The sequence below is a fragment of the Homo sapiens genome, chromosome 9 (assembly GCF_000001405.40).
Source record: "Homo sapiens chromosome 9, GRCh38.p14 Primary Assembly".
Lineage (NCBI taxonomy): Eukaryota > Metazoa > Chordata > Mammalia > Primates > Hominidae > Homo > Homo sapiens.
Genome location: NC_000009.12, coordinates 87,608,106 through 87,620,207, shown reverse-complemented (window position 1 = coordinate 87,620,207; position 12,102 = coordinate 87,608,106). Strand labels below are relative to the sequence as shown.

Below are 12,102 nucleotides of genomic sequence, written 5' to 3'. Positions count from 1 at the left end.
AGAGACCAAGGAGGGGCACGAGCGGAGGGGCACGAGCAGAGGGTCTCCACCGCCCACCTGGGGAGAGGGCCAGGGAGAGGGTGGCCTGAAACCCCGCTCTGCTGGAAGCAGGGGCTGAGAGCAGAGATCTGCCCCCACCAGAGGCCTCTAAGGAGAGCAGATGAGGTTCAGATCTCCTTTTCAACAGCATCGTCTGTCTGGGCCCATGCATGCCAGAGTAAGATTGGGGTGAGTGCCATGGAGGATGCTGTAATGGGTAAAGGAGACTTAGGATTGTCTGAAGAGCTCATCTTCTGAAGAGCTCATCGGCTTTCTTTCCTTCTTTGCAGAAATATGCATTGGCAGCTGTTACGTGATGGGCATGACTCTACCAGATGACAACGACAATCAGCAGCATTACTTTCAACCGCCCACCTCTGACTGTCATTGGCCTCTAGCATAACAATGCCGGCCATATAATAGGTTCTCAATGCCTGTCCCGTGGAGTCCCATCGACTGTCCTTCTATTGAGCTCGTTCCCATCCCATGCATCCAGCTTGAACACATGGTCCTGCGTCTCAATCCTCTCAGGCCCAGGGTGGAAATCAGCCCTGCTGACAAACTGCCCCGTTCTCATGAGAGAGGACTACTTAGAGTATGGCAGGTCACGTGCAAGGCAGAGCCTTCGGGAAGCAGTGCCTGTGGCTCTGTTTCCTCTCTTCACCCCACTGTCCTTGCCATGAAAAAGCTCCTCATTGCGGTTCCTCAGAGTCCTTACTGTTGTTTCCCAGCCAGTCTCCCTGACAGAATTCAACTTCAACCACTTTCACTGGGCACTGACAGTGTGCTAGCATGTACATCCTCTCCTACAAGGTTGGCACAGAAAAATAAATCAGTAAAATACTGGCACATCCTCAGGAAGCTCACAGTCCACTGCAGGAGAGACACATAAATGTTTAAAATACAGTACAGTATGTGCTATAATCGACACACGCCTAAAAAGTGAGGAAAACACAAGTACAAAAACAATTAAACCTAACTGGAGTGGGTAGGAAATCCAGAGAGGGTGACATGTGAGCTGGGTTTTGATGGATGAGTAGGAGTTCTACAGGGGAACAGGTGTGATCTGGCAATGGCAAGACATTCTCTGTGGGTGGAGCATCAGGGCAGAGGCAAAGTGGGGTGGAAGAGACATGGATGAATATGGGGAGGGGCCTGGACACAGGTTCAAAGGCTCTGCACCACTCTACCAATCATGGACCTCATTCAGCGGGCAGGAGGGAGTCATCCAAGATTAAATCTTTCTTGATATATAATTCACGCACCATACAATTCACTCTTTTAAAGTGTACCACTCACTGGGTTTTAGTATTTTCAGGGTTATGCAACCATCCCCACAATCTAATTTTAGAACATTATCACCCCCAAGAGAAGCCCTGTGTCCATGAGTAGCCACCCTACTTTCCCACCACACTCCCACCTGCCCTCGGCAGCCACGCAGCTACTTTGTGTCTCCACAGATGTGCCTACTCTGGACAGTTCATGTCAATAAAATCATAGGGTGGGTGGTCTATTGGGTCTGGCCTCTTTCACTTAGCATGTTTTCAAGGTTCATCCATGTTGTCACAGTTATTTTCCTTGCCAAGTAACAGCCCATTGAATGGACATACCATATTTTGTTCACTAGCTGAGGGACATTTGGTTAGTTTCCACTTTTTGGCTAGTATGAATAATACTTCTACCACTTTCATGTGTAAGTTTTCATGTGGAAATATATTTTCATGTCTCTTGGGTACAGTCTGAGGAGTGGAAATGCTGAGTCCTATGAAAACTACGTTTAACATTTTGAGGAACAGACAAACTGTTTCCCAAAGTGGCTGGAACAATTTACATTCTCACCAGCACTGTTTGAGCATTACAATTTCTCCATATCCCCACCAACACTTGAGATTGCCTGTCTTTTTGATTAGAGCCATCCTAGTGGGTGTGAAGCGCCATCTCACAGTGCTTCTGAGTTATAGATCCTACTGACTAATAATATTGAGCATCTATTCATGTGCCATTCACCAAAGATTCTTCAGCAAGAGAAGCAGCTGTTTTGTAATGAATCCAGGGGTGAGCTCAACAGGAGAGAAACTAGAGGATGCTGTAATAATTCAGGAAGAATTCTTGAGATTCTGGGCCAGGGCCAAAGTAAGAGAATGGTAATAAGGGAAGACTCAGAAGCTCTTTCTGTGGCAGAGCCTGCAGGACATCACGGAAGACTAGATGTGTGCCACAGTGGAGAATAGGGGAGAAGAATGAAGCAAGGAGAGCTCCAAGCTTCCCAGTCTGAGCAACCAGGAAGATGCAGATGCCATGGACTGAGCTAGAGAAGCAGAGGGGAGCAGGGACTATGGAGGGAATGCTATGAGTCCAGTTTAAGACACGTGAAGTTGAGGTACCTGGGGAGACCCGTCTTGGAGGAAATGTCGAGTAGGCCACTGGAGAAGCAACTGTAGGGCTCCAGAGAGACCTAGAGACACATCTGTAGGGATTACCAATTGATTAGGAGGTGACAATTGAGTATCATGGGCTGCATACAAATTAATACACTTTGCAATAAATATAAGAAAGTTTTGGCAGCACCCTTTCAGTGGCAGTAGTGGAAATGGAAGGTAGATGAAAGTGATCTGAAGGGGGAATGAGAGTCAAGGAAGAGAAGGGAGTGAGTATGGATTGCGTCCTGTCTCCAGGAAAACTCTTCCCATTGCATCCATTATAAACGTGGATGTCAAGGAGCACCAAGACCACTCGCATCCCTTCTGAGATGGATGTGGCACCCAAGGGGTAGAAGAGGTAGGTGGTGTTGAGCTTTCCTGCTAGGCAAGTGGCCCTGGCAATGGAAAGCTATCACCTGCCAAAGAGCCAAGACTTCTGGCCCTCACCCTCCATGTCTCTACCTCCCCATTCCAATAAGGAAGTGGAAAATAGGAAAAACAAAAGGGGATCATGCTTCCAAAAAAATGTACTCCCTTTTAAAGAATTTCTGATGGGCAGAAAGTCTTTGAGAAAAGAGGGCATGAGATCAAATGGACCCTAACTATGCAGTGACAAATTGTGCATTTTTCAGTGGAAGGATGCCATTGGGGAAGGGGGACACCGGGAAGTTTGGGTTGTAACTACTTAGCTACAGCATCAGGACTGAAGTGTCATCTGGACTAGAGAACCAAGACAAATCTCTTTGAACCCAGAGTGAAGTTACTTTCTCCCTGCCTCTCCAGATCTATGCTCCAATCTCCTACATCCACTTCTGGGTTTAGGGAGGCTGCTCATAGAGACTGAATCAAAAGGTTCCCTTGAAAACAGGACACTAGTTTGGTTTGGCCAACAGGTAGCCCCACAGAAAAGGAGAACAGTTTCCAGCCATGTGGCCGTGGATTTGGCTGAGGCCCTCTACTGAGGCTCAGCTTGTGTTATGCAGTGCTCTCCAGGAAGTTATCCATTCCAGGGTCCTCACACCACTCCCCTGTTTTACTTTTCAGGCCCAAGGGTGATGACAGCTCCATTCTCAGAGGGTGCTTCCCCATCACTTATCATGTTCTCCAAACCTTGCACACATGTTTGTTAAGTCTCAAATTTCCCTGTTTGTGTGGGCCGTCTGTTTCCTGGTAGGACCCAAACTGACCCAAACCCTGATACTCAAGAGGATGGGGTACTTTGCTCTTTAGGAAACTCAGTCAAGAGTTTTCTGAAGCTCATGCAAGTAAATCAACGTTTCCCCCCAAAACTGTCCTTCTCCCTGGTCAACTAACTGGTTCTTGAGCCACACGTGACTCTTTTTCAGATCCTGCTGTTCTTCCTGCTCTATCTGGACTTGACATCCATGTATTGGGCCAAGCACAGTCTTCAGTGCTGTGGGTGCCAGAGTAGGACGTAGTCTTGCCCTCAAAGAAACATATGCAAGGGGCATATAGGCACATGCCACTATCACACCAGAGCCCCCATGAAGCCATCCCACTCCTAGGCTTCAGCAATCCCACTGGAAAACTAGAACATCTTCTGCCCACCCCCAACTTCATGGAAATGCTAAGAAATGAGGGGCAAGAACAATGCAGCCACGCTAGAGAAGGAAGCAGAAAGGTGAGGGGCCCTGGGAGGCCAGGTTGGCTTTCAAAAGCTTCTAAATCACTGCTTTCAAATGGAGGAGGAGCAAATGTGTCTCCAGAACCACTGGAATGTGAAAGTCACTCTCAAGAAGGAAGAGCAAAGCTGGCCAACCAGCCCACAGACAATGGGGCCTTGCAGGCAAAATCCTACAGTGGCTTAGCAGAATCCTAGGGCTTAGAAAACTCAAACAAAAGAATTCTCTCTCCAAGAGGCTACTGTCTGAGAATGAGCATCTCTCTACCGGCTCCTGTGACCTATATGTGGACAGAGGGGGCACAGCGTTCCTTACCTGCAGGGTGGTAACACCACTCTCCTAGAGTTGCACGCAAGGATTAAATGAGATCATTTCAGGGAGGCGCCCACTGTGGCTGACTCAGAAAGGTAAAGTGAAGGGCAGTTTCCCTTTTCCTCCAAGGAAAGCCACTCAGTTGTTTAACCATATCCTCTCTTCAGGCAGTTTGGGAAGACCCATGCCTAAGTGCAAGTGCCTTAAAAGTAGTGAACGTTCTACCCTACATTTTTGAAATAATCAACTCTACTTGAATTTTCCTATCAAAATATTAGGGGAAACGTCAATGACACTTCTGTCGTCCAGGGAAGACCAGGTCCTTGAGCCCATTTCTATGTAACTCTGTTAATTGAATAGTGTTTGCATCTCACAGTAGCCATGCTCGGTCACTGCCTTCATTCAGAGGCTGGAAATGAAACTGACATTTCAACACGGAACAAGCACATATTCCCAGCGGTCCCGCTGGATCCCTGATGTTCCTCATTTGCATTGCAGTAATTTTGACAATATTAAAAACAAGTTACACACAGGGAAATAAAGAGTTGTTAAATAGAAGAAGGTGAGGTAATACTTGGTTATCTGGAAATACAAATTAGGAGGAAAAAGCAGTATGAGGTTGTTCTTGGAAGTATTTGCTTGTTAAACCACATTTTGCAAGGACGTGAGGCAGAAGGGGATGCTCTGAGGGGCTCAAGGACGTCTTGGGAAGACTGTCACTGACCTGCTTGCAGATACTGATCTAATAAAGCAATGCTCTCATGACCTGTGGCCTAGGCACTCTCCGTCTTGGAGTACCAGCTGGAGACGAACCATCCCCGGCTGCCTGTCTCCAACCCTCACTCCAGTCACCATCCCAGAATTCTGGGCACAGCAAGACCTGGATGTGGACTCCGTATGACCAGAGTGGGGGAAAGCCAAATGGAAGGTTTGAGTGGAGCCTGACCACCAAACAGGCAGTCCCAGGGCCTGGAAGGGACTTGGCTCTGGGTGGAGAGAGGCAGCTGCCTGGCCAGGATGGCGGCAGCCACAGTGCCGGGGAGCCCACGACAAGGATGGGGAACATACTGGAGCAGCGAAGAGAGGGAACTGGGCAAGAGGCAAAACCAGTACCTGTGAGGGGACAGCTAAAGCCGCAATTCCACAAAGTTCTCTTCCATTACACCCGCTTGATGTGCAGGTTGGGGAAGCAGTTGGCCAAAACAGGAAGAAGAAGATATGAGATCAGGGAGAGTTTCTAAGAGGAAGTATGAACAATTTGCAGGACCTGCACCACCCCAGAGAGTGATGCAGAAGAGTCTAGTCCCTGGGAAGGAGTCTAAGAATAGTCACCTGCCTGGAGCTGTGACTAAGCAGCATTGCCTCAGTTTCCCAAACTTTAACCACGATCATGGGTCTTTCTTGGAGATAAACAGAGATTCCAAATATTACTTATAGCTCATGTATTCAGCATGGAGAACATCATGGCAGATACTAAAGTTATGACTATATCCTAAAAACTACAGATCTATGAGCTCACAGATACCACATAGGGTTTGTTTGTAAGACTCCTATTGTCTCACTTTTTCTTAAGACCGTGCAGAAATCAAATAATCCACTTCAGTGAGTGAAAATACCTATTTAATAACATTAAGGGAACACTTTTCAACTGAACTGGCAAGAAGTGAGAGTATGGGGGAAGACACACACAGGGTTTTCTTTCTCAAGAGAATGCCTGGATGGAAAATAACCTATTTTACATGATTTAGCTCTGCTTTGAAAGGCAGAGACTGCTGCCAAATGCACTTTACTTCTCTGCTCTTGCCTAATAGTAGGTATCTGAGGAGCGGGATGCCAGAAGTGGAACCCACAAGAGCTCTTGAAATTACCTTTGTGAATAAAGACAAAAGTTCAAAAAGTCAAAAGAGCTGGCTCGAGCTCAGAAAAGAGAGAACAAATGTGGCAGCAAAAGAACGCATTGAGGAAGTCTGAGTGTGTGCTATTGTGGTTCGTGAGCGCCCAGAGAGAAGCAGAGACAGGGAGACTGAAGGGCTCTGTGCCACACACCCCATTTATCAGCTTCCCTAAGTCCCGACCACCACATTCAGCTCTGTACAATTTTTGCCACTTTTAAGATCCTTTGAAACTATCACTTTAATCACTGCATGTGTTTCTTCAAAGGCTCTTGCGATTCTGATCTTGCTGACCAAGGCACCATGTGTTCGTCTACATACATGCACCACGCTGACATACAATGAAAAACAAAGTTGTATTTGTATTCTGATTATTTTGCATCTCAGTTTGGTTATGAGAGAGTGAGCCAACTGAACCGTGATCCTACATAAAGTGACCTAATATTGCACAAATGTTTGAATACAACTTAGCAGTTGTTTGTGATGGGCAAACTGAATTCCAGAAATTATTAACTTAGCCAAAGTAAAACACAGAGCTAAAAAGGAGTTGTTCAATAGGCACAGCATTTCAGTTTTGCAAGACGAAAAGGTTCTAGAAATCTGTTGCACAACAATATGCATAGAATTAACACTGCTGTACTGTGCACTTAAAAATGGTTAAGATGGTAAACTGTATGTTGTTTTACCATGATTAAAAAAATCAGCAAAATTTACCTTTTTAAATATAAAAAATGCATTATTCACTCCACGCCCTGCACTTGGCTACAACCATAGCAGACTGCACTAATTAAATGGAATTTCCTGTCACAAAGAAAGAGAGAGAAAGCTAAATGGGGTTACTCTGTTTTAAAGATGTGCTTCGAAATGGAAGCAGAACAAATAAGGGGAGACATTTAGGATTGGAGAACCAAACTGGCTTGATTTCTCTGGAACAATCCACCATGCCAATACTTACTTGGCCATCTTAGCACTTTTACTTTATAATTCTTAACATGGTAACCTTTCAGACATGTGATCCAGAGCTACTCAGGTGACCATCCTGAAGCAGGCCAGAACCTGGTGATGTCCATTTCTTCCTTATCTTATGTTAGACTCCAAACCCCCACCCCCGCTCCAATCCTTCTCTGCTCAGGCTATCTGCAGGGAGTGAGATGTATGTATTGCGTCATTTTGCAGTTACCTGATGGCATTACCATAATTAGGCATTATGTTTTGTTTTGTTTCTAACTTGCTTATAGAATTTTAGATCAACATGCGAGTAGGCTCCCAGTCCAGGAAATCTAGTTTCTGTTAACTGGTGCCTCTGTGTTAGTTTCCTAGGCCTGCCCTAACAAAGGACCACACATGGGGTGGTTTAAAACAACAACCTGCTATCACATAGTTTTGGGGGCTGGCAGTCCTAACTCAGTACGTTGGTAGGGATGGTCCTTCTAAGGGATCTGAGGATGAATCTGCTCCATGCCTCTGTCCTAGTTTCTGGCAGGTTCCTTGGCGTATAGATGCTTCACTCCATTCCTCTGTCTCCACAGGGCCTTCTTATAAGGACACCAGTCCTATCAGATTAGGTTCTCTGTGCTATTCCAGTATGACCTCATCTTAACTAATTACATCTAAAACAATCTCATATCCAAAAAGGTCATGTTCTGAGATACTATGGTGCTACGGTTTGAATGTTTGTCCTCTCCAAAACTCAAGTTGAGATTTAATTGCCATTGTAAGAGTGTTGAGAGGTAGGGACTTTAAGAAGAAATTTAGGCCATAAGGGCTCCTCCACCTTCATGGGTCAGTTTAGTACCTTTAAAAAAGGGCTCCTGGGAGTGGGCTCTTGCCCTCTCTTGCCACGCGATGCCTTTTGCCATGTTATGACAGTAAGAAGACTCACATCACATGCAGCAAAATGTACTTCCTGCCTCCAGCACTGTAAGACATAAACTTATTTTCTCTATAAATTACCCAGTCTGTGGTCTTGTTATTGCAAAACCCAAAATGAACTAAGACAGGGACATAGCACTTCAACATATCCTTTTTGGGGAGCACAGCCTCTCAAAAGATGAACCCAGACCAGCAGCATCCGCATCACCCGGGAATCTGTTAAAAATGGAAATTCTGGCTTTCAAGGTTAGGAAAAAAGGAAAAATTGAAATTCTGGCTGGGCGTTGTGGCTCACAACTGTAATTCCAGCAACTTGGGAGGACAGGGTGAGAGGGCTGCATAAGCCCAGGAGGTCGAGACCAGCCTGAGCAACAAAATGACACTGAAGCTACAAAAAATAAAAAATAGCTGAGTGTGGTGCCACACACCTGTAATCCCAGCTACTCAGGAGGCAGAAGTGGGAGAATCACTCGAGCCCGGGAGTTCAAGGCTGCAGTGAGCTATGATTGCACCACTGCATTCCAGCCTGGGTGACAGAATGAGACCCTGTCTCAAGAAAAAAACCAAAAAGTCAATTCTGAGCTGGGCCCAGTGGCTTACACCCCAGTCCCACCTACTCAGGAGGCTGACGCAGGAGAAGCGCTTGAGTGCAGGAGCTTGAGGCCAGCCTGGGTAACATAGGGACACCCCGTCTCTAGGAAAAATAAAATTAAATAAAAATGCAAACGCCTAGGTCCCACCCCAAACCCACTGAATACAAAACTCTGGAAGCCTGTCAAATAGTCAAACAAGCCCTTCAGGCAATTCTGATGCATGCTAAAGTTTAAGAGCCACTGTTTTAAACTGTATATTTTTTAAAAAAATCATTTTATAATGCTAAGTGTGCATCTTGCCCTTCCCATAGAATCACTAACCCTTTGAGGCAGTCTTTCTCATGTTACTTCTCCTATAGTAGTGATCAACTTATTGCTTACATAAAACAGGCTAGAATTTGGAAGTCTGTGCTAGATAAAGTATGTGCTCACATACTTACAAAGTATGTGCTAGATAAAGTATGTGCTAGATAAAGTATGTGCTTACATAAAACAGGCTAGAATTTGGATTGTGTACAAGACACACAATCTTCAGATGTTTTATTTTGTCTGTTCGTGAATACTATGAACTGACTGCCAATATTAAAAATCTAGATTACAGACTTTTCCTGAAAAAACTGGAAGAGCTGACAACACTGAATCCAAAATTACACACAGGAACAATCAACTGATTGGTGGCTGTCCCTTCGGGGTGGGGCCTCAGGGCTCCAGTGGGCCACAGTCTCCACGGCTGGTGCATCCCTGACACTGAGGCTTCATGGAGGCCAACCATCCTCATTTACATTGTATGCCTAGCCCCTAAGGGCACTTGGGTTTGAACAATGGCTGGGCAGACAACAGCTAGACAGAAAAATGCATAACTATCCACAGACCAAAATACCTAGCTGTTTCTGAGCAGCAAGTTTAGGAATGGAAAGCTAGAAGCCAGGGCTGCTGAGGAACAATGCCACACACTTTAGAAATAGCATCGACTTTAAGTTCTGTGAGTTTGGCTTCGCCCTTCACCAGATAACAAGGCGAGTTATGAAACGATTCAAGCACTGAAGGTGAAAGTTTTGTAGTGGCTTGCCCGTGTGATGATGTGTGGGTGAGCTGCAACACAGTAAGAAGAAATTTTGGTATTGGCACGACTTCATTAGAGAACAATGGGACGTGGAGGACATGAAATCCGAAATCGTGATTTTAAGAAATCACATTTGCCTCCTTCAGGTATATGCTATGCTGAGCTGCAATGACAGATCCTCTGTGAATGATTCTCCAGTGAAGCAAGTAGGGGAAAAACATATGCCTTTAAAGCGACTTTCAGGCTTGCAAAAATGGTAAAGGGCAGATCCTGGACTGGGATTTGACAACTGCACCATTAATGCAGATCCCAAATAGTTTCTGTACAAAGGACAGCAAAGATACCTTTTTGGGTCAGTGGCAGTGGTTCATGAAATACCAAGAGAAGGGGTAGTTTGGGATGTTTATTTCAGTGGGAAGGATGGGCATGGAGTCTGGAGGACAGAACTCACATATATAAGGTAGAGACAGGCACAAGTTTTCAACAAGGGGACCCGCTTCATCACTAACCCTCAGAGGAAGTTCGACTTGCCGTGGACTTCATGTCAAAGCAGTAAATCCAAAAACTATATCCACACGGAAACTACTGAACCAGAAGATTCAGACACACAGCCACTATTACCTCCTGGGGTTATATTCTGACAAGTTCTTCATTTTGATTCTCTCCCTAACCACCCCTGTACTTCAGCATTCTTAAGAAAGAAAAGTGGAAATGGAATCTGTCACTGATGACTAAAGCTTCTGTTAAAGACATTAGAATTTAGGATGATAATTTTCTCAAAGGCAAAGACGACTGTTTCTCCTGGACAGATTTAATATTTTCAATAGTCTATTAAAAATTATAAAACATAACCTCCAAAACAAGTATAGCAAAAAGAAAAAAAATTATAACACACCTCTTCAAGGTAACGTAAATACATAAAAAATGGGACAGACTTCCAAGATAATAGTAAGGGTGCACTTTCTGTTCTTAGGTACTTAGTGCCACTGTATTATCAGGGTTCTCCAGAGAAACACGCATCATACCGTGCATATGCATCCTACGCATCATATGCATATATAGGAATTTGCTCACATTATTATGGAAGCTGGCAGGTCCCCAAATCTGCCAGGTGAGTCGGCAAGCTGGCAACTCAGTAGAGCTGCTGGTGTAGTTCCAGCCCAAGCCATCAGGCTCAAGACGCAGGAAGAGCTGATGCTTCAGTTTAAGTCCAAAGGCAAGGAAAAGCCGGTGTCCCAGTTCAAAGCCACGTTAGGCAGGAAAAATGGTCTCCTACTTAGGGTCAGCCTTTTTGTTCTATTCGGGCCTCCCGCAGATTGACGGAGCCACCCACATTCCCGAATGTGTTCTGCTTTATTCAGTCTACTGATTCAAATGCTAATCTCACCCCAAAAACATCCTCACAGAATAATGTCTGACCAAATATATGGGATCCTCATGGTCCAGTCAAGTTGACACATGAAGGTAACCATCACAACCCCTCAGATGCCTGGGTGGTGAAGAGGCAAAAATAGTCAGCTCCTAGGGGACACTAGAATTTATGAAGAGCAAATAACCAGGGACCTGTCTAGCCCTGTGAAGGATGTGGCCAGCTCCTAAGGGCCCTCCCGCTCACTCCATCTAAAAGCTGTTCCTAGTGAGATCGCTCAGCTTTCATTTAGGGTCATCATGCAGTTAACAATGTAAAGCTGTATGCCAAGATGCAACTATTAGAAAGCCTACAATTGAAAAACAGTACAGAGCCCCACTGGTGGAGCAATCGGAATTCTCATCCATTGCTGCAGGGACTGTAAAACGGTATGCTCACTTTAGAAGACAGCTTGGCAGTTTCTCATAAAGTTGAACATACATTTACTACACGATCCAGCAATCCCAAGATCTCTAGGTATTTACTGAAGAGAAATAAAAACCTATGCCCACACACAAGTCTGTATGGGAATGTTTGTAGCAGTTTTACTCCTAATTATCAAATACCAGAAACAACCCAAATGGGTGAATGGTTTATAAAAAATCCATACAATGAAATACTACTCAGTAATAAAAACGGACTCACTCTTCATGCACAAATCTCCAATGCATTATGCTGAGTGAAAGAAGCTACTTTCAAACACTTGCATACTGTATGATTCTATTCACTGGACATTTTCAAAACAACAAAACAGTAGTGATATGGTTTGGCTCCGTGCCTCCATCCAAATCTCATGTCGGATTATAATTCCCAATGTTGGAAGAGGGGCCTGGTGGGAGGTGAATGAATCATAGGGGTGA

At 45.0% G+C, this 12,102-nt stretch overlaps 1 protein-coding gene across 8 annotated transcripts in view, besides 1 other annotated feature; it reads right to left on the bottom strand.

Annotated features, from left to right (window-relative positions):
• The window catches only part of DAPK1 (death associated protein kinase 1), a 211,407-nt gene that overhangs the window by 88,427 nt on the left and 110,878 nt on the right, over positions 1-12,102 (bottom strand). The gene's annotated exons all lie outside the window — the stretch shown is intronic.
• Positions 63-563: an enhancer, noted in NCBI's record as "H3K4me1 hESC enhancer chr9:90234560-90235060 (GRCh37/hg19 assembly coordinates)". NCBI's record gives its function as "activates a minimal SCP1, AML or CMV promoter by ChIP-STARR-seq in primed H9 embryonic stem cells {active_cell/tissue: H9 hESC(primed)}" and the evidence as "EXISTENCE:reporter gene assay evidence [ECO:0000049][PMID:30033119]".